This window comes from Homo sapiens, chromosome 14 (assembly GCF_000001405.40).
Source record: "Homo sapiens chromosome 14, GRCh38.p14 Primary Assembly".
NCBI lineage: Eukaryota > Metazoa > Chordata > Mammalia > Primates > Hominidae > Homo > Homo sapiens.
Genome location: NC_000014.9, coordinates 23,879,295 through 23,902,041, shown reverse-complemented (window position 1 = coordinate 23,902,041; position 22,747 = coordinate 23,879,295). Strand labels below are relative to the sequence as shown.

At 40.4% G+C, this 22,747-nt stretch overlaps 1 long non-coding RNA gene across 2 annotated transcripts in view, besides 1 other annotated feature; it reads left to right on the top strand.

Annotated features, from left to right (window-relative positions):
- The window catches only part of LINC00596 (long intergenic non-protein coding RNA 596), a 95,219-nt gene that overhangs the window by 31,900 nt on the left and 40,572 nt on the right, over positions 1-22,747 (top strand). The window contains exon 2 of one of the 2 annotated variants that reach the window (XR_429343.4): positions 7,117-7,513. This is a non-coding gene — a long non-coding RNA (long intergenic non-protein coding RNA 596). Of the gene's footprint in view, positions 1-7,116; positions 8,964-22,747 lie in introns of those variants that run through there. The other variant, XR_001750659.1, reaches the window with a different exon arrangement.
- Positions 3,865-4,395: an enhancer, noted in NCBI's record as "NANOG hESC enhancer chr14:24366856-24367386 (GRCh37/hg19 assembly coordinates)". NCBI's record gives its function as "activates a minimal SCP1, AML or CMV promoter by ChIP-STARR-seq in naive H9 embryonic stem cells {active_cell/tissue: H9 hESC(naive)}" and the evidence as "EXISTENCE:reporter gene assay evidence [ECO:0000049][PMID:30033119]".

The following is a 22,747-nucleotide window of genomic DNA, read 5'->3' as shown; positions in this document are numbered from 1 at the left end:
AGCAATTTTGTATTCTAACCCAACATGAACATTGAAGTTAGTGGGGTGCCTAAATGCTGGCTGAGGGTGGGAAACCAAGTTAACTACAGAGCCTCTTGCCTGGTCCTGCCTTCAAGTGCACCTTCCCAGTCTCAGCCTGGGCTGCTCTGAACAGGTTTTCTTGGACTTGTCAGCAAGATACAGGCTTCCATTGACAGTTTTGGAGTCAGGCTTAAATATGTGGAAAATGCCTCTATGTCAGGCAATTTCTTTCCAAAGTATGCTTAACTTCTTCTGGCTTTCATAGTTGTGAATCTATAAATTCTTTTGAGTAGAAAAGTGGTTTGCATCCTTGACAAAGTAGTTGGCATTAGAACCTAGTCTCGTCAGTGTTTGTTTGGCTTTTTGATTTTTAAAATTCAGAACAAATTGTAATGTGACTCAGGTCTTGAACGTATAACTCAGTGTTCCTGCACCAGGAGGGAAGAAGTGTGCTCCTCTTTAGGTAGAGAAGTTCTAGGAATACCACATAAAATTATATATATACACATATACATGAATATACACATACATGTATGTATACATGAATATATATGTGAAAATGTTTTGGCAACTGTAAATTGCTATACAGATGCTGGGTATGTAACTTTGTTAATTTTGTCATTTTGTATATAGCAGCTCTCATACTATTTGCTGTATTTAGCGGTTTTATTTTTCTTAAAATTCCTTGCCTTTTCAAAGCTCTTAATGAGGCATTTTTTCCCTTCTGTTCTTTCCCTGACATGCCCCATCCCCACAATTTGCCCTAAAGAGGAAAACAAAAAATTTTCTTTATGACAATCAGCACTTTCAACACTTCCGTGACCAAACGAGTGGCTTCCCCCAACACTCCCCCACACCAACCAATTCTCCCATTCTTTGGATGCCAGCTGGGCATCCTATAGTTCAATTGTGACACCAACTACCTGGAGTTAGTGTTAGTATAGGTTAAGGGCTCAGTCCCACAAGACTGTCCCTGCTCCAGAAGCCAGTTGCAAGTGCTGAATCCCCAAGTTACCCGCACTTCTGTCAGCCTTCGCTACAAAACCCAGGACCTCCTCTTCAAGTTTGACAATTTGTTGTGTTGGCTCTCAGGACTCAGGGAAACACTTTTGCTGGTTTATTATTAAGGATATGATAGAGGATACATATGAATAGCCAAATGAAAACATATATAGAGCAAGGTCAGCAAGGGTCCTGAATGCAGGGGCTCAGTCCCCGTGGAGTTGGGGTGCACTGCCCTCTGGGCACATGGGTGTGTTCACCAACACAGGAGGTCTCTGAACTCTGTCTTTTAGGGATTTTTATGGAGGCTTCATGTAGGCGTGATCAATTATTAACTCAAACTCTATCTCTTCTCCCCTCCCTAAGGATGGGAGTGGAGCTGAAAGTTCCAAGCTTCTAACCACGGCTTGGTCTTCCTGGAGACCAGCCCTCATTAAGGAGCCCAGCAAGAGTCACCTCATTAGAAGAAAAGATGCTCCTATTACACAGGAAATTCCAAGGCATTTAGGATCTCTGTGTCTGAAACTGGGGTCAAAAATCAAATATTAGAACAAAAGACACTCCTAGCACCTTTATGGCTTAGACAATTACAAAGGTTTTAGGAGCTATGGCCAATAGCTGGGAAAGAAGATCAAAATGTAAATTTCTTATGTCATAATATCACAACTTTTAGTTTCCCCTCTGTGTCTCTGAACATACAATCAGACAGGAACTCATATAATTACATCATTTGGTACGTTTACATAAATGTATTTACATGCTACACATCATTTGTTAACTTGTCTTTTTCATGTTAATGTGTCTCAGATATATTTTTGAATCAGCACATGGTATATTTACCTCATTGAAGAGCAATTCTGCACTTTTTGACGGAAGGCACTCATAAGAATACGGGGAGACTAGCAGCCATGTTTCAATCCTGCAGTGGAGCTGACGCCCGACTGGGCACTAGTGCTCTACTTGTGCAAAACGATGTCATAACAGATCCTGCCTTTTGAGTGGCCTGGGGTCAGTGGTCAGTAGACCTTTGCTCTTCAGAGTCCTCGGGAATCAGAACATGAGCAAACGAGAAGGCACAGAAACCCAAGTCACACTGACACAGTGGTAGTAGGTTCTAGTCCATTCTCAATCTTTCTACTTTGAAGAAATGCTTGAGTTAATTTTCAGGTCTCCGGGAATCCCTGCATAAATATAATTACATCTAAAGCTATGGGTCATTGTTATGAGAGTGAGCTATGGATGTAATAACCTACTATTATTTGTCAGTGTTATTTTTTATAGGGACTGATATTTTTCAGTGGATCTATTTACTGTAGCCAATCTATCAGCCTCCTCTTTTTGTGTGTTCCCCCTCCCCTCTGCCCCACAAAGGATATCCCTTCTACTGCAAGTCAGTAATGTAGGTGAGGAGACTTCAGTTTCTTCTTTTAATAAATTCCTACCTGATTTTTGAAAAATTTTATCCAAGTAGGCTTCAAAGTTTTATCACACATTCATAGTATAAGACACACTAATGAGGTATGGGACATGGTATATGATATATGCAAGAGTAATTATTTCTCCTATTTAAAGCTAACTTTTTTTTAACCAACCTGTGTTGAATAAAATCAGGTAGCTAACGACTGGATAACTTTGAAAAATCCATCTCTTTCTTTTTCATAAATTTTAAAAACCCTTAAGATAAACATAATATATTTCTTCTAAATAACTGGCTTAGCTCTCAAAAAAAAAAAAAAAAAAAAAAAGAAAAACATCCCTCTCCCTCTCCCTCGTCTCCATCTCCCGGTTTCCATGGTCTCCCCCTCTTGCTCTTCTCCGTCTCCCGCTTTCCACGGTCTCCCTCTGTTGCCGAGGCTGGACTGTACTGCCACGATCTCGGCTCACTGCAACCTCCCTGCCTGATTCTCCTGCCTCAGCCTGCCGAGTGCCTGGGATTGCAGGCACGCGCTGCCACGCCTGACTGGTTTTTGTATTTTTTGGTGGAGACGGGGTTTCGCCCTGTTGGCCGGGCGGGTCTCCAGCTCCTGACCTCGAGTGATCTGCCCGCCTCGGCCTCCCGAGGTGCCAGGATTGCAGATGGAGTCTCGCTCACTCAGTGCTCAATGTTGCCCAGGCTGGAGTGCAGTGGCGTGATCTTGGCTCGCTACAACCTCCACCTCCCAGCCGCCTGCCTTGGCCTCCCAAAGTGCTGAGATTGCAGCCTCTGCCCGGCCGCCACCCCCTCTAGGAAGTGAGGAGCGTCTCTGCCTGGCCACCCATCGTCTGGGATGTGAGGAGCCCCTCTGACCGGCCACCCAGTTTGGGAAGTGAGGAGCACCTCTTCCCGGCCGTCATCCTGTCTAGGAAGTGAGGATCGTCTCTGCCTGGCCGCCCATTGTCTGGGATGTGGGGAGCACCTCTGCCCGGCCGCCACCCAGTCTGGGAGGTGAGGAGCGCCTCTGCCCGGCCGCCACCCCATCTGGGAAGTGAGGAGCCCCTCCGACCGGCAGCCACCCCATCTGAGAAGTGAGGAGCCCCTCCGCCCGGCAGCTGCCCCATCTGGGAAGTGAGGAGCCCCTCCGCCCAGCAGCCGCCCCGTCTGAGAAGTGAGGAGTGTCTCCGCCTGGCAGCTGCCCAGTCTGGGAAGTGAGGAGTGCCTCCGACCGGCTGCCCCATCTGGGAGGTGGGGGGCGCCCCCGCCCGGCAGCCACCCCGTCTGGGAGGTGGGGGGGCGCCACGTCTGGGGGGTGGGGGGGGCCCCTCTGCCCTGCCACCACGTCTGGGAAGTGAGGAGCCCCTCTGCCTGGCTGCCACCCCGTCTGGGAGGTGTACCCAACAGCTCATTGAGAACAGGCCGTGATGACCATGGCGGTTTTGTCGAATAGAAAAGCGGGAAATGTGGGGAAAAGAAAGAGAGATCGGATTGTTCCTGTGTCTGTGTAGAGGGAAGTAGACATAGGAGACTCCATTTTGTTCTGTACTAAGAAAAATTCTTCTGCCTTGGGATGCTGTTAATCTATAACCTTACCCCCAACCCCGTGCTCTCTGAAACATATGCTGTGTCAACTCAGGGTTAAATGGATTAAGGGCGGTGCAAGATGTGCTTTGTTAAACAGATGCTTGAAGGCAGCATGCTCGTTAAGAGTCATCACCACTCCCTAATCTCAAGTACCCAGGGACACAAACACTGAGGAAGGCCGCAGGGTCCTCTGCCTGGGAAAACCAGAGACCTTTTTTCACATGTTTATCTGCTGACCTTCTCTCCACTATTGTCCTATGACCCTACCAAATCCCGCTCTCCGAGAAACACCGAAGAATGATCAATAAATACTAAAAAAATTAAAAAAAAAACTACCAGAAAAAAAAAGAAAAACAACAATGCTCTATACATTATATGAATTACATTTCTCTCTTTTTATAATTAATTTTTTATACAACAAATGTACATTTATTGTCTAAAAATTCTAACAGATTCTAACAGTACAGAGGTATACAGGGTACAAAAGTCAAAATCTCAGTTCATCTCTCCTCAGGCCCGATAGGGTTGAGACTCACCACAACATACTTTTTTTTTTCTGAAAACATGTCACGTTCATAAGCACATCATACTTTCTATGGGAAGCAATGATTAGCTGTTCACAGTGGACCCTTCCAGACTTTTTCTATATATCTGTATCTATTTACACATATAGGTGCTATGAATCTTTTATGTTTTTATTACATATGTTGGATTGTATTAAACATATTGTTCTGAAAAAAAAAATAGCTGGCTTAAACCAAAAAGCAAATGAATTTTGAAAAGTCAGCTTGGTAGACTTCTTTAAATAAGGATTATAAATTTATTTTAATTACTGTTATTTACTATATAAAAATTTTTGCAAGTATTGAATAGTAAAGCAATTAATCACAAGCCAAAGCAAAATGAGTAAGAATATAGTTTAAGACATTATTTTATTAAAGATTTGAAGTTTTTTTCACTGAGTGACATGATAAAGGTCAAATAAAGGTCTAGCAGATGCAAAATTATTATGCACATATATTAGTTTCTTGATTTCCTTTATAGGCTTATATGTGCATACAAAGTGTTTTTCTGAGGTTAAAAATATAGAATGAAATTCACATCTTTTATCTAAAACATATCCTTACTTTTTACTGCATAAATACATACTGAATTCTGGGCCAAACTCGTGATAAGCACACATGGATATCATTTTCACCTGAAACGAGGCGACATCTGTCCCAGTTCTTGATGGTTGTTAAACAAAAGAAAGCTTGCTTACACGTGTAAGAAATTAAAAACTTCAGCAGATTGTTCATTGTTTTCTTATGAGTGGTAGGATCCTCTTACAGAAATACAAAACTTTTCTAGGGCAGATCAGGAAATCTCACGTGGTTTACTTCACAAAGTTCTTCCTCTTTCTCAAAGTCAAATTCTTGGGATGAGCAGAATACATAGATTCGGAGACAGGATCCTTATCCTGCAATATGCTTGTGTGGAAAGGAAGGAAAATACTGTTAAATTTTGTTCTGCAGTTTTCCTGATGGTTTTCAATAAGGCTTGAGACTTTCTGTATAATAAATAATTTAACTTTATCCAAAAAGATGTCTGACCACCTTTTTTTTTTCCCCTTTGCTCTCAGCTTCTGGGAGGTGGTCTCTAAGCCCTTAGAATGTCCTGTCTGGTAGGAGTGGCTTTTTAATTGATCTTACAAATGCTTTTTCTGTCTCAATCCTAAAAGGAATAAATTGGAGTTTGCCTTTCTGTGAGAATGATTCCAATTTACATTTACCGAATTGCTATAGGTACTGTCATAAACTGGTGAGAGGAGGTTTGGATTGATGCAGGTTCTGAGTGTAATATTACACTATGTTGATGATATCATGATAATGTCTGAAACTGAAGACCAGGATGGACTGACCTAAATGGGGGATGACACACTTGACCAGCACAGGATTGTTGATAACTCCTGCAAAAGTCAAAGAGCCTGCTCAATTGGTGAAATTCTTAGGAATAACCTGGGTAGGAGCCACCCATGACATTATACAGGTGACTACAAACTGCTGTCAATATCTATTCCTAGATCTAACTAAGAATGTTAGTTATAATCTAGTCCAACTTTTGTGTGGTAGCTTTGAGTTTTGAAGGATGCATATTCTACATTGGGTATATTGCTAGCTTTTGTCCATACAACTACCCCCAAAGAGGGCCATACTTGAATGGGGACCCAAACAAAATCAGGCCATGTCAGAAGTGTGAAAAGTATTTTCTCTCCAGATGCTTTTGGGCCCTTATGTTCCACACTCATACATGATTTTGGAAGTCTCTGTAACATACTTACGTGGACTGGAGGTTACTGTAAAAGCTTATGAGTGCCACCCAGAGGGGGCCAATGGAATTTTGTACTAGAACATTCTTGGATGGCGTGGTAAGATATATGCCAGGAGGGAAACAACTTCTAGTTTGCTATTGGGAATTAATGGAGACTGCCTCTATGACTGAAGGATGTAAAATACTCCTGAAACCTGAAATATCCGTAATGTCTTGGGTGATGTCAGAGAAACACTCTAATAAAGAAGGCAGTGTCTGGAAGTGTTCCATGATAAAATGGAAATGGGTTCTATAGGAACATGTTACTGGGGGAATGCAGAGGGACTCATTGTATCTACAAGCAGGTAGGCTCTTTCCCTCTACCACTGACTTTGGAACTGTTGTCAGTGGGCTGGTTCAGGTTCTTGACTTTGCCACACAAAAGAATTTCAGAATGAGTCCAAAGTAAGTAGGCAAATAAGTTTATTGCAAAGTGAAAGTACACCATGAGTATTCATAAAGTACTGGTGAGGGCAAATATGCAAAGGTGGACCTGCGATTGGCATGTGTGCTCAGTATCTACATGCTCTAACATGGATCACATGTATCATTAGCATATAAAATCTCCACCTAGGGGTGTGTTTTTTACTATCAAAATGAGGAAAAAGCCATTATAAACTAAACCTGAGCCTAGCTGCTCATGCAGGACCCTTGAGAAGTGCCTATTTCCCCTAAGGCAGAAATTTGATTGGCTGGAGATTGGGGAAGCTACATCAGGAATAAGGGGCTTTTGTTCTCTTTCCCAGGCTGTACTGGATATCAGGAACTTGTAACTATCTGGCAGCTGCTGGTATCCTGGAGGACTGCTTATCTTGCACAATATATTAGGTGCTGATGCACGAGTTTGCAAGGGATGCAGAGTCTGCTGTGAAAAAAGCCCACAGGGCTTCACACAGGAGGACAAGTCAGTATGGCCTTCTAACCTTACTTATCCTGCCTCAGAACCACCTGAGAGGCTGCTGGATCCGATCACCACCTGGACAGTGCCCTGTTAACAGATCTGCGTTAACCAACAAATACAGATCTGTATTAACCAAAGAGCTGCTTGGTTTGCAGATGACAGTTCCAAGATGGATGAATGGCATCCTGTCTGGAAGGCCACCACACTAAGACTGGCAGATTGAAAGGCTCTGTTTGAAGAAGGTAACAAATTAACTCAACAGACTTAATTACATGCTGTTTTCCTGGCAGTGATGGGAGAATTGAACAACAATAAAAAAGCCTTTAGGTTTGGGTTTTTACTGACTCATGGGCAGTGGCCAGTGGCGTGGCTATATGGTCAAGTAGATGGGCAATGGAACACTGGTCTATTAAATGGATGCTCACATAGGGCATGACCTTATGGAAATTAGGCAAGTCTCCTCTAAGAAAGACTTGGTCAGAGACCAGGGGGTGGCCAGTATATTAAAATATACCCCTGAGTATTTAAGGAGTGCATTAAAATAGGACATGTTGATGCCCACAAGAAGAGCTCCTTTCTAGGGTCAGAAGGTAATTAGAATTGACAAAAATATATCCTGGTTTGCTGCTTGATGTGGCTACTTGGGTCCCTGAAATGAAAGGATGTGGAAGTATTACAGCAATGCAGAGATGGACTGAATCCAGCCATTTTCCTCTTGCAGAAATTGCCAACAAGATCTGGTCTGGTCTGTGTGCCAATAAAAGAGACAAAGACTGCAGATGGCTATGGGACAGATTTCCTGGGAGAGGGTCCTCCCATAGCTGACAAGTTGATTACAATTCTTCTCCAGATCACCTCATTTTTTTTTTTTCTGTATCATTTCAATTTTCTTTTTTCCTACTTGATGTAGTGATCCCAGCACCAGAGCTGTGACTGCAGATTCAGGAGTCAGGGATGATCCCTAAGCAGGAAACTGTAACTGTACTTTGAAACTTTTAGATCAGAATTCCTAAGATCCTGATGAAATGAATTGTGCCTTCACCCCATCCTGCAGAATTGGGGTTGACAGTGACTGCAACAATATTGCCTAGTGGTAATGATGCCCCACTAGTTCTGTGCCTGTCTAACCCTACCCTATGTCAGCAAGAGTGAGCCGAGGGTGTGACACCTGCTGGACTAATCTTGTTGCTGGACATCTGGATCAGGACAGTGGCTGAACCTCACGTCTCTCAGAGGTGGCAAAGGATGGGTCAAAAGATAAAGGGAGAGAGGAGGAATAGCAGTTGAAGATGAATGAATAAATGAGCTATGTAATGAGGAAAATCCACTATTACATTTGTACCTCAAGAGAGGCTCAAAGCAAGAGATGATATTGTCTCTCTTAGCTCAATCATATCAGATGTCTGAAAGGGTGAGGCCATTTGTTGCCAAGACCACTTCTGCTTTTGGAACCTGACAAACTAGAATAGAAGCCTGCAAACCTGAGTGGCATTGCTCTGGGAGACATTTTGGGCATATGAATTAATGATAAACTGAATCAACTGTTAATGACTGAGTGAGATTCTGGTAATCTACCATTCTGCAAAAACAGTATGACACTGGTATTGCTGGTAAGGTTGTAAACTGATACTGATGATCAATGTATTGGTGTGTCTGGAATTGGTGGGTTCTTGGTCTCATTGACTTCAAGAATGAAGCCACGGACCCTCGCGGTGAGTGTTACAGCTCTTAAGGTGGCGCGTCTGGAGTTTGTTCCTTCTGATGTTCAGATGTGTTCTGAGTTTCTTCCTTCTGGTGGGTTCGTGGTCTCGCTGGCTCAGGAGTGAAGCTGCAGACCTTCGCGGTGAGTGTTACAGCTCTTAAGGCAGCGCGTCTGGAGTTGTTCGTTTGTCCCGTTGGGCTCGTGGTCTCGCTGGGTTCAGGAGTGAAGCTGCAGATCTTCGAGGTGAGTGTTACAGCTCATAAAAGCAGCGTGGACCCAAAGAGTGAGCAGTAGCAAGATTTATTGCAAAAAGCGAAAGAACAAAGCTTCCACAGTGTGGAAGGGGACCCGAGTGGGTTGCCACTGCTGGCTGGGGCAGCCTGCTTTTATTCTCTTATCTGGCCCCACCCACATCCCGCTGATTGGTAGAGCCAAGTGGTCTGTTTTGACAGGGTGCTGATTGGTGCGTTTACAATCCCTGAGCTAGATATAAAGGTTCTCCAAGTCCCCATCAGACTAGTTAGATACAGAGTATAGACACAAAGGTTCTCCAAGGCCCCACTAGAGCAGCTAGACACAGAGTGTTGACTGGTGCATTCACAAACCTTGAGCTAAACACAGGGTGCTGATTGGTGTGTTTACAAACCTTGAGCTAGATACAGAGTGCCAATTGGTGTATTTACAATCCCTGAGCTAGACATAAAGATTCACCAAGGCCCCACCAGAGCAGCTAGATACAGAGTGTCGACTGGTGCATTCACAAACCTTGAGCAAACACAGGGTGCTGATTGGTGTGTTTACAATCCCTGAGCTAGACATAAAGACTCTCCACATCCCCACCAGACTCAGGAGCCCAGCTGGCTTCACCTAGTGGATCCCCCACCAGGGCTGCAGGTGGAGCTGCCTGCCAGTCCCGCGCCGTGTGCTCCTACTCCTCAGCCCTTGAGTGGTTGATGGGACTGGGCGCCGTGGAGCAGGGGGTGGTGCTCGTCGGGGAGGCTCGGGCCGCACAGGAGCCCTTGGAGTGGGTAGGAGGCTCAGGCATGGCGGGCTGCAGGTCCCGAGCCCTGCCCCCACGGGAAGGCAGCTAAGGCTGGGTGAGAAATCGAGGGCAGCGCCGGTGGGTTGGCACTGCTGGGGGACCCAGTACACCCTCCGCAGCCGCTGGCCCGGGTGCTAAGTCCCTCATTGCCCAGGGCCAGCAGGGCTGGCCCGCTGCTCCAAGTGCGGGGCCCGCCAAGCCCACGCCTACCCGGAACTCCAGCTGGCCCGCAAGTGCCGCACGCAGCCCCGGTTCCCGCTCACGCCTCTCCCTCCACACCTCCCTGCAAGCTGAGGGAGTGGGCTCCAGCCTTGGCCAGCCCAGAAAGGGGCTCCCACAGTGCAGTGGTGGGCTGAAGGGCTCCTCAAGTGCCGCCAAAGTGGGAGCCCAGGCAGAGGAGGTGCCGAGAGCAAGCGAGGGCTCTGAGGACTGCCAGCACGCTGTCACCTCTCATTGGGAAATGGGGTTAAAGCTCCTTAGAATGTAATGTTGATGGAAAATGACTGCCTTGTGGAAGAACTGGAGTTAGCTAATCATAAGCTAATTTTTATGTTAAATAGTTCTGCACAAATTTATCACAAGATACAAATAGTGGTAGATGAAGGGGGGAAATGTAACCAAATCAGTATTAATATATCAATTGTATGCAATGGCTTTATAGGATGGATTAACTGTTTCTTGTAATATATTTCTATCCCTTACTGGCTCCTCCAAATATTAAGGTTATATTTGTTTTGCTCTAAGAGAGACTTGGTCAGAGACCAGGGAGTGGCCGGTATATTAAGGGATGTAATCTTGCCCCTCAAATGCCTGTCCTTTGCCTTCAGCTTCTATAATAAACTGTAGTTTGTGAGGGTCCTCTTCCTGATTTGTAGAAGGACACCTTCTTGCTTGTATCCTTGTATGATGGTGAGGAAGAGCAGTCATCTCTCCTGTGCCTGCCTTTCTCCTTTCTCTTTCTTTCTTTCTTTCTTTCTTTCTTTCTTTCTTTCTTTCTTTCTTTCTTTCTTTCTTTCTCTCTTTCTCTCTTTCTCTCTTTCTCTCTTTCTTTCTCTCTTTCTCTTTCTTTCTCTCTTTCTCTCTTTCTTTCTTTCTTTCTCTTTCTTTGTTTCTTTCTTTTTCTTTCTTTCTCTCTCTTTCTTTCTTTGTTTCTTTCTTTCTCTTTTCTTTCTTTCTTTCTTTCTTTCTTTCTTTCTTTCTTTCTCTCTCTCTCTTTCTTTCATCTTTCTTTCTCTCTCTTTATCCCTTCCTTCCTTCCTCTCTCCCTTCCTTCTTTCCCTCCTTCCCTCTCTCTTTCTTTCCTTCTTCTTCTTTTCCTTCCTTCCTTCCTTCCCTCCTTTCTCTCTCTCTCTTTCTTTCTTTCTTCTTCTTATCTTTCTTTTCTTTCTTTCATAAAAAATTAAATAGAAATAGGGTCTCACTATGTTGCCCAGGCTGGTCTTGAGCCCCTGAGCTCAAGTGATCCTCCTGCCTCGGCCTCCCAAAGTGCTAGGATTACAGGCATGAGCCACTGCACCCAGCCAGCTTGTGTCTTTTCTTATAAGGGCAGTAATCCCATTCATGAGAGCTCCACCTTCATGACTTAATTATCTCCCAAAGGTCCCACCTCTAAATACCATCACATTGGGGATTAGAGCTTTCACATATGAATTTTGGGGGCACACAAAATTTAGTTCCTAGCACAACTTTTTGTATTAGTGCACTGAAGTGATCTAGATGACTGCAGTTCTTTCCCATAAATCTTGTCAGCGAGAGAATTACAAGAAATTGAAAGAAGTTCACAGTACATTCACTTCTAGCTTACATAATTCAAATTTTTTTAACATTTAGAAGAGTAAAGCTCTTGTGGGGCAGCTGCTGGGCATGAAAGTTTGCTCCTGATTTTCTATTGCCCCTGTCGAGCATGTTCACTACTGTCAGGGAGTCAGTTGTTTATCAGGGAAGGTTAGGGAGGAAAATCCAGGGGGATATACTGACATCGGCAGCCTACCCTCCCTCCTTTTGTGCAATGCAGTGCTTGCCATTTATCAATACCCTCTTTTATCTTACATTAAATATTGAGAACGGATGCAACCAAATGACCACAGTTCTGCATCTCACTGCCGCACAGGACAGAAAGCTTTCTAAAAAAATTGCCAACGTGGCTGCTCTGTCACTGCCCTTCACTGGAAAACCTCAGTATCACCCAAACTGCAAAGTTCAACAGCTGATTTTTTTCAATCATTTTTTCTTCTCTTATTTTCAAATATTTAATTGACAATTTAGATTGTGTATCTCACATTCGAAGTGTACAATGTGACGATTTTATATATAAATGCATTGTGTAATAATTATCAAAATCAAATTAACACATCTGTCACCACCCATGCTGTATTTTAACTCTCCAGAACTTGTTTATCTTATGACTGAAGGTTTGTCCTCTTCGATCAACATCTCCCTATGTCTCCTTAACCCCCATCGCTGGCAACCATTATTCTACTCTCTGTTTCTATAAGTTCAACTCTTTTAGACTCCACATATAAGTGAGATCATACAGTATATGTCTTTCTGTATCATTTATTTCATTAAACATGTTGTCCTTCAGGTTGATTCATGTTGTCACAAATGGTAGTGTTTCCTTTTTTAATGGCTGAATATTTGTCATACACACACACTCACATATATATAAACACACACCACAATTTCTTTATGCATTTATCCATCGATTGACACTTAGTAGTTTCCAAGTCTTGGCTATTGTGAGTAATGCTGAAATGAACATGGGAGGGCGGGTATTTCATCGAGCTACTGATTTCGTTTCCATTGCATATATACTCAGAAGTGAGATTGCTAGATCATATGGTTATTCTAGCTTTAATTTTTGAGGAAACTCCATACTGTTTTCCATAATGGCCATATCAATTTACATTTCCACTAATAGTGTACCTGTTTCTCTCCATCCTTACTAACATATATCTTTTGTCTATTTTGATAACAGTCATCCTGACATGAGAGGTGACATCTCATTGTGGTTTTTATTTACATTTCCTTGGTGATTAGAGATGTTGAGCACCTGTTCATGTAGCTGTTAGCCACTTGTATGCATTATTTGGAGAAATATCTATTCAGGTTCTTTGCCCATTTTAAAATTGGATTATAAGTTTTTGTTATTAGGTTGTATGACTTCTTTGTATATTTTAGATATTAATCCCTTATCAGATATATGGCTTACAAACATTTTCACCCATTCGGTAAGTTGCCTTTTTGTTTTATTGTTCTTTTTTTTGTGCAGAAACTTTTTAGCTTGATGTAGTTACTTATTTATTTTGCTTTGGTTACTTTTGCTTTTGGTGTCATATCCAAAAAGTAATTGCAATGACTAATGCCAAGCAACTTTTTTTTCTATTTTTTTCTAGAATTGTTATGGTTTCAGATCTTACATTTAAAAGTCTTTAATTCAAATCAAGTTAATTTTTGTGAGTGGTGTAAGATAAAGGCCCAATTTTATTCTTTTGCATGTGGACATTCAGTTTTCCCAGCACCATTTATTGAAGAGATGATCCTTTCCCCATTGTGTGTTCTTAGTACCTTTGTCAAATATTAACTGATTGTATATGTGTGGGTTTATTTCTGGGGTCTTGATTCTGTTCTATTGATCTATTTATCTGTTTTTATGTCAGTACCATACTGTTTTGATTACAATGCTTTTGTAATATACTTTGAAATCAGGAAATGTGATGCCTATAGCTTTGCTCTTCTTTCTCAAGATTACTGTAGCTATTTGGGGTCTTTTGTAGTTCCATACGAATTTTAAAATTGTCCTTTCTATTTCTGTGAAGAATGCAATTGGAATTTTGACAGGAATTTGATTGAATTTGTAGATTGCTTTGGGTAGCGTGAATATTTTCACAATACTAATTTTTCCAATCCATGAACATGGAATATCTTTCCATTTATTTGTATATTCTTCAATTTCTTTCATCAGTATCTTATAGTTTCCAGTGTACAAGTCTTTCACCTCCTTGGTTAAATTTATTCCTAGGTATTTTATTGTTTTCGATGCTATTATAAATGGAATTATTTTCTTTATTTCTTTTTCAGATATTTCATTGTTAGTGTATAGAAATGCAACTAATTTTTTTGGTGTTGATTCTGTAGCTGCAATTTTACTGAATTTGTTGATTAGTCTTAATAGTTTATTGGTGGAGTCTTTAGAGTTTTCTTATATAAAATCATGTCATCTTCAAACAGAGACAATTTTACTTCTTCCTTTCCTATTTTGATTCCTTCCTTCCTTCCTTCATTTCCTCCTCCTCCTCCCTTTCCTCCTCCTCCTCTTCCTTTTCTTTCTTTCTTCCTTTCTATCTCCTTCCTTCCTTCCTTCCTTCCTTCCTTCCTTCCTTCCTTCCTTCTTCATTGCTTGGCTAGGACTTACAGTACTACGTTGAATGGAAATGATGAGAGTGGGCATCTTTGTCTTATTCCTAATCTTAGCAGAAAAGCTTTTGACTTTTCACTGTTGAGTATGATACTAGCTGTGGGCTTGTCATATATGGCCTTTGGTATGTTGAGGCACATTCCCTCTATACCTAATTTGTTAATAGTTTTTACCATGAAAGGATGTTGTGTTTCATCAAATGCATTTTTTTTGCATTTATTGATGTGATCATATGATTTTTAGTTTTCATTCTATTAACATAGTGTATCACATTTGTTGATTGTATGTGTTGAACCATTCTCACATCCCAAGGATAAATCCTTCTTGATCATGGTAAATGATCATTTTAGTAGGCTGTTCAATGTGGTTTGCTAGCATTTTGTTGAGTATTTTTACATCTATGTTCATCAGGGATATGGGTCTGAAATTTTATTTTCTTACAGTGTTTTTATCTGGCTTTGGTGTCAGAGTATTGCTGGTCTTATAAAATGAGTTTGGAAGAGTTTTTTCCTCTTCAATTTTTTGGACAATTTTGAGTAGGATTGGCATTAATTCTTCTTTTAATGTTTGGTAGAATTCACCTGTGACACTAGCTGGTCCTGGAATTCTGTTTGTTGGGAGATTTTTTTTTTTTCAAGAAGTAAGCTTAAATCTCATGTTGGGAGGTTTTATTAAAAATTATTAATTCAGGCTGGGCACAGTGGCTCACGTCTGTAATCCTAGTACTTTGGGAGGCTGAGGTGGGCAGATTACCTGAGGTCAGGAGTTCAAGACCAGCCTGGTCAACATGGCGAAACCCCGTCTCTACTAAAAATACAAAAATTAGCTGGGCGTGGTGGTGCATGCCTGTAATCCCAGCTACTTGGGAGGCTGAGACAGGAGAATTGCTTTAACCTGGGAGGCAGAGGTTGCAGTGAGCCCAGATCGTGCCACTGCACTCCAGCCTAAGCAACAGAGTGAGACTCCATCTCAAACAAAACAAAAAATTATTAATTTAGTCTCCTTTATTTATTTATTACTTACTTGTTCCTGCTCTATTCAGATTTTTAAATTCTTCATGATTCATTCTTGGTAGATTATATAATGCTAGGAATCTATCCATTTCTTTTAGATTATCCAACAGAAGGAAAATTGGAAAATTTACAAATATGTGGAAATTAAACAATGCAACTCCTGACCAATAGGTCAAAGAAGAAATAAAATGGAAAATCAAAAAAATCTTGAGAGAAATGAAAATGGAAACAAAACATGCCAAAACTTTTGGGATGTAGCAAAAGCAGTTCTAAAAGGGAAATTTATAGCTATAAATGCTTACATTAAGAAAAAAGAAATATCTCATATAAGCAATCCAACTTTACATCTCAAAGAACTAAAAAAAGTAGAACAAATGAAGCCCAAAGTTAGCAGAAGGAAGGAAATAATAAATATTAAAGCAGAAATAAGTGAAATAGAAAACAGAAGAAAAAAAGAGAACTTAAATAAATATAATTAAAAAAAATCTTAATCTCTCTCACAACCATGGTAGAGAAAACCAGACTGCGAGATTAATATTACAAGTGTAACCAGTTTTGCCAACTTAATAAAGAAAGCTATTATTTCTCCAGTATTCTCCAAAACCCAAATAATTATGAAGTCTACTTCCCCTGAGGAGTTCCCTTCCCTGATATGTCCAGAAAGCACTTGATAGTTACCTCAAGGCTCAGGACCAGCCTGGGCTGCTCACCAGTATCACTAAGAACTTCCTTGATGTGGAAGGATCCAACAGGCCCTACCAGAATGCCACTGCCCTGGAAGTTGCCTCAGCTGGGCTGCTATGGCTGTTGCCACCAGCACTTCTGCCAGCTCTTCATTTAAAGTCTTCGTTCTGCCTTTAAGTTGCAACTGTCTCAATTACTCTCCTCCTCCCGCTTCACCTCAGTCTAATCAATCCTCTCAGAAAAGCACTTAAGCTTCCAAGTCACAAAATAAAATTTAAAATATTTATTCTCTAGAAGCCATAAAGGAGCAGATTGATAAATTTAACTGTGTTAAAATTTAAAACTTCTGTTTGGCAAAAGACAAGACAGACTGAAAATGTAATTGCAGAACATATGATAAAATGGCTAATTGCCTTAATTTGCAAAATAACTCATGCAAATGAATGAGAAAGTAAAACAACTCAGAAGAAAATAGACATGTTATAAGAACAGACAGTTCACAGGAAAAATATAAATGGCCTGTAAAATTATGGAAATATACTTAGTCTTGCACGTATTTAAAATATGGAGATAAAAACATCAGTAAGATAGAATCTTTCAACTTATAGATTGGTAAAAAATTTAAAAAACCTTTATACTATCTAGAGCTGGAAAAAGTATGGAGCAATAGGTACTTTCAGATTTTTTGATGAGATTTTGTATTGTTGCAACCTTTGGGAAGGCAATTTGGTAACATCTATCAAATATTTAAGTGTATGTGTATTTTGACTGTTTTGACTGAGAAATTTCATTGCTTGGGATTTACATTGTGAATATGCTTGATAAAATTTCCTATTAGTGTATGTGCAAGAATATTTGCAGAGGCATTGTTTTAAAGGAAACAAAAATGTTATTCCCAAATATACATTTTAGATGTATTTTAAGATGGTTATTCAGAGGGCCTGCAGACAAGAATAGCCCAGAAAAGCTGCCTTTTCTGGAGGAGATTTCATCTGTAGAGAAAAATCTACATTAGTGAAATAAAGCTAGGCTTTCTCTGAGGCACCCTTTTTTAGTCCAGATCTAGGAAATATTAACTCAAGCGCAGGCTACCGTCTACTCTTTCTGAGAGCTGCTACCTGCGAGGTTTCATCTACCTAATAAGACTGCCTTTGGTAGCCATGCCTTTCCTCTTCTCTACCTCCCATAACCTGTATTGCGGTGCTCCAAGCTCTTTTCTTTCTGTAACCTCAAGATGGTATAAAAGCATCAACAATCTGGCTCTTTGAGTTTTATATTTTGTATGACTCCTGTGAATACATGCGCATGTTAATACATTTTGTATGCCCTTCCTCCCTTAAGTCTGCCTTTTGTCAGTTGATTTTCAGTGAACCTTCAGAGGGCAAAGGGGAAGTTTTCCCTTGGTCCCTACGGTTTAATAGTGTGATCTGAGAGCCCAAAATAAATGCCCCTTTATCAACTAAGATAGACTCTAAGGTTAAGGAAACAAAGTTACCTACGAGTGGAGCATTCAGAGCCCAGCTGGCACGGCAAATTTCTAAATTCCCAGGACTCTAAACTTCCTAACAATAGCAGCCATTGGACCTCTCCTAAATCTGATTTATAACCCAGACTACTGTAATTCTGATTGGACAGAGGACTGGCCTTACAAACACTCTTTTCTGATAAGCTACTGTAAACATTAAGCCAGTTTCAGTCAGCTTATAGAGGCTGTGGACAAACGGTCTTTGTGCCGTACGGTTAACCTTTTGATGTAAAGAGCCAAATTCCACCTCATTTCAGTGCTAAAACCCTGTTTCAAAGTAAACTTGAGATGTATGTAACGTGTGTTTACTCGTTGCTCATTTGCTCAGCTCCCCTCATAAATATGTATAGCTTTTCCCCAAACCTGCTGAATATGTATGGCTCTATTGTGTAACACAGACCCATGAGGAGTAAAACCCAAGCTGTTCCCTCCCCCTACAAAGAGAGACCACCGTCAGTCCGTGCTGGTTTGCTGGTTTCTCTTCCCAACTTACAAACCAATATCACCAATAAAGCTCTCCTTTCTGCTATTTAACCATCGTGGTGGTCTTTTGAATGGCAACAGCGAACAATTTAAAAAGCAAACTCGTTTAATAGCAAGCAACTTAAAAAGCCAAGCTTAAGTATCTATTGATAGGAAAATTAAATTGGAGTATATAAAAATAATACAGCTGTTTAAAAGTGAGGTAGATTTGTAAGTGCTGAAAGGGAAAGATGTCCAAAGTATATTATGAAACATAAAGAACAGGGTACAGAGTAATATGATGTAAATGAGAATTACATGGCCATAAAGACATGCTAGTAGATGCATTCAGCATTTTTCTAGGAAATGTACAACACACACACACACACACACACACACACACACACACACATTAACAGCAGTTGCCATGGAGAAAAAAGCCATGGAGGAATATTTTATTTGAGCTTTTTCTTCTTTTGGACATACAGGGTTGGGTTAAACACAGTCTTCAGTTCATGGCATGCCCCGTCATTGGTTTAGACAGGCCCCTTAGAGAATGACAGGCCTCATTCTCCACTTTCATTTGCCTCCTTCTCCTTTAAAGAAAACCCTTCTGTTTAATGTATGTGGTATTACTTGCATGTATTCTTGTAAAATGTGTATTGTCTGTTTGGTATGTTGTATTCATTTTTATAACTGATATGTGCGATGGATCCTATTTTTTCACTCAGCATAATGCATGACACTCTGGGTGTGTGTAGTCGTTGCTTCTAACTGCTGATGGTACTCCACATTTTTCCTATCTGCTTTATTCTAGATAGATATCTGGGTCACTTTCAGTTCCTCTCCATCACAGTGTGAATAAACATCCTCATACAGGTACTCAAGTAAGCTACAGTGTGAGGTTTTTTTTTTTTTTTTTTTTTCCAGTACACATCCAAAAGTGGATCTTGATGGTCATGAAGCACAATGATATAGAACTAAGAACTGTCAGATTGCTCTTTAGGGTGGCTGCGCCTGTCTACATGCCCACCAGTAACATAAGAGGACACTTCTGTCCTCACATTTCTGCTAATACTTGGCATTGTTCAGCTTTATAATTTTTGCCAGCATAATAAAGTAATGTCGTGTTATTTTAAAAAGTTGAATTATTCTCATAGCCAGTTTGGGCCTCTCCTTATATACTTGCCAGCCTATTTGATTTCCTCTTTTTGCAAATTGTTTATTTCCTTTGTTCATTTTTCTTTTGGATTTTCTGCTTTTTAATCTTAATTTTAATAGCTTCTTGTATATCTTAGATACTGTGTTAGTTTTTAAAAAACATTAGGGATAGCAAATAACACAAAATTTGTCACCTGTTTGTTAACTTTGATCATGTTGTACTTCCTTGAATAAATTTTCTTAGTTTGATGCAATTGACTTAATCAGCTTTGGCCTTATGATTTGTTCTTCTGCTGTTCTTTAGAAGTCCTTCCCTGCCTGGTATTGTTAGGAAGATATTAACCCACAATATTTACCATTGACTTATAATCTTTTGCCTTGAAGTCTTTAATCCTTCTAGAGATTTCCTTGTATATATACTCTGGTAAGTAGGGATCCAGTTTGATTTTTTACCTCTAATGAGACAGTTTTTCCAACATCATCTCGTAAACAATTTGTCCTTTTGTCAATCAACTGTGATGCAAGATTTACTGTATATCAAGTTCTTATTATGGGTACAAACTTTTTCTCAGTTCTTTGTTATATTCCATTGTCCATGTTTTGTCCTTGTGCCAGTATCATACATTATTTAATTTTTTATCATGAGATATAAGACAAAGAAAAATGCACAAAACATAAATCTCCCACTTAGTGATTCAAAATGAGCGCCTAGCTCATTACCACTCAGGTTAAGAAAGCACACTGCCAAGAACCCAGAAGCCCCTGTGTGTTGCTCAATTTCTGATGCCTTTCCATTATCTTAAGGCAATCATCCTCCCAAAGTAACTAGCACCCTGACATTTATGATGATTAATTTCCCACTTAAAAATACTTTATTAAGCATATATTTATAAACCCTACACTTTAGTTCTGCCTGTTTTTGAACTTTATATAAAAGGAATTATACAGTATGCATTCTGTGTAGCCTGGCTTATTTCACTCAACATTATTGATGAGATTCATCCATGTTGTTATGTGTAGTAGCAGGTTATTGTTTTTCACTTCAATCCCAGTTTTCAGTGGTAGATTAAAGAAACACTCACAGTCCTTCACTCTTTCCAATACCCATGCCTTTTGCAATGTGACTTTAGAGCTCCTCCCATGAAGAAATGGGGTCTAGTTCTCTTCCCTGGAATCTGGGCTGGCATTGTGGCTTCCTTTGGCCAATAGAATATGGTCAGGGTGACCACACGCCTATTCTGAGCATAGGCCTCCAGCAGCCTGTGTGCTTCTGCTCTGTATTTCAGGACTCCTGCCTCAGCCACATGAAAAAGGCTGGGCTAGACTGCTGGAGAATGATGTATGTGGAACACAGCTGAGTAAGCTTGGTTGTGTGGGCTAAGCCCTCAGAAATTAAAAGAATCTCACAGATGCATGAGGCAGCTCAGTTGAGACCAGAACTCCCCAGCTGAATTCAGTCTAAATTGCTGATCCATAAAATTGTGAACTCAATGAAAAGTCACTAAGTTTTGGGGTAGTATGATAGACAACCAATACATATTTCATTGATGTCTGTACCACAATTGATCCATTCTACTGTTGATAGAAATGTAACTTGTTCCAGTTATATAAATTGCACTTCTATAAATTGTGCTGCTATAAAACATTCTTATCATGCCTCCTAGGGCATATGTGCATGCAGTTCTATTGGGCATATATCCAGAATTGAAATTTCCTAAATTTTTTTTTTTTTTTTTTTGAGATGGAGTCTCGCTCTGTCGCCCAGGCTGGAGTGCAGCGGCACCATCTCGGCTCACTGCAAGCTCCACCTCCTGGGTTCACGCCATTCTCCTGTCTCAGCCTCCCAAGTAGCTGGGACTACAGGCACCTGCCACCACACCCAGCTTATTTTTTGTATTTTTAGTAGAGATGAGGTTTCACTGTGTTAGCCAGGATGGTTTCAATCTACTGACCTTGTGATCCACCTGCCTCAGCCTCCCAAAGTGCTGGGATTACAGGCGTGAGCCACCGCGCTGGGCCAAAAAATTTTTTATAGCTACATAATAGTTTTACATATTTATGGGGTTTGATATTTTGATACAAACATACATTGTATAATGATCAAATCAGGGTAATTGGGGTGTCCATCACCTCAAGCATTTATCATTTATTTGTGTTAGGAACATTCCAATTTCACTCCTCTAGTTATTTCAAAATATACAAAAATTACTATTAACTATAGTTGCCCTATTGTGTTACCACTGGATCTTACTCCTTCTATCTAACTGTATTTTTGTACCTGTTAGCCAACCCCTCTTCATCCTCTAATCACCTCCACAGTTCCCAGCTCCTGGTAACCATCAACCTACTCTCTATTTCCATTAGATCGACTCTTTAGCTCCCATATATGAGTGAGAACATGTGATATTTGTCTTCCTGTGTCTGGCTTATTTCACTTAATATAATGTCCTCCAGTTCCATCCATGTTGTTGCAAATGACAGGATTTCATTACTTTTTATGGCTGAATAATATTTCATTGTTGTATGTGTACCACCATTCGTCCAATGATGGTTACTTAGGTTGATTCCATATCTTTGCTATTTGTGAATAAACATGGAAGTGCAGATATCTCTTTGATACACTGATTTCCCTTTTTTTTTTTTTTGGATATATAGCCATCAGTGGGATTTGCTGGATCATATGGTAGCTTAATTTTTAGTTTTTTGAGGAACCCCCATATTGTTTTCCGAAATGGCTGTACTAATTTATATTCCTACCAATAGCGTATGAGCATTCCCCTTTCCCCACATCCTCACTGGCACCTGTTGTTTTATTGTCTTTTTGATAAAAGTCATTTTAACTGGGTTTAGATGATATATCACTGTGGTTTTGGTTTGCATTTCTCTGATGATTAATGATGTTGCACATTTTCTTCACATACCTGTTGGCCATTTGTATATCTTCTTTCAAGAAAGGTCTGTTCACATCTTTTGCCCATTAAAAAAATTGGATTACTTGTTTTCTTGCTGTTGAGTGGTTTGAGTTCCCTATATATTCTGGTTATTAATCCCTTGCCAGTTGAATAGTTTGCAATTTTTTTCCCATTCTATAAGTTGTTTCTTCACTTTGCTATTCGTTTCCTTTGCTGTGAAGAAGCTTTTTAGTTTGATGTGATCCCGTTTGCCCATTCTTACTTTGGTTGCCTGTGGTTTTCAGGTCTTACTCAAGAAGCCTTTGCCCAGACCAATGTCTTGGACAATTTCCCCAATGTTTTCTTCTAGTAGTTTTATAGTTTCCGGCCGAATTGGAATTTTTAGCTCATAGAGTATTATATCTTTACCTTTAATAGTTAATGACTTTATTTATAAAATAGCTGTATGAATTTATACTTCTATCATCAGCATATAAGAGTTCTCATTGCTTCACATTCTGTGCCAACACATGGAATTGAAGAAACATTGAAAAGTTTGCCTTTGAGTTCAGGAACAAG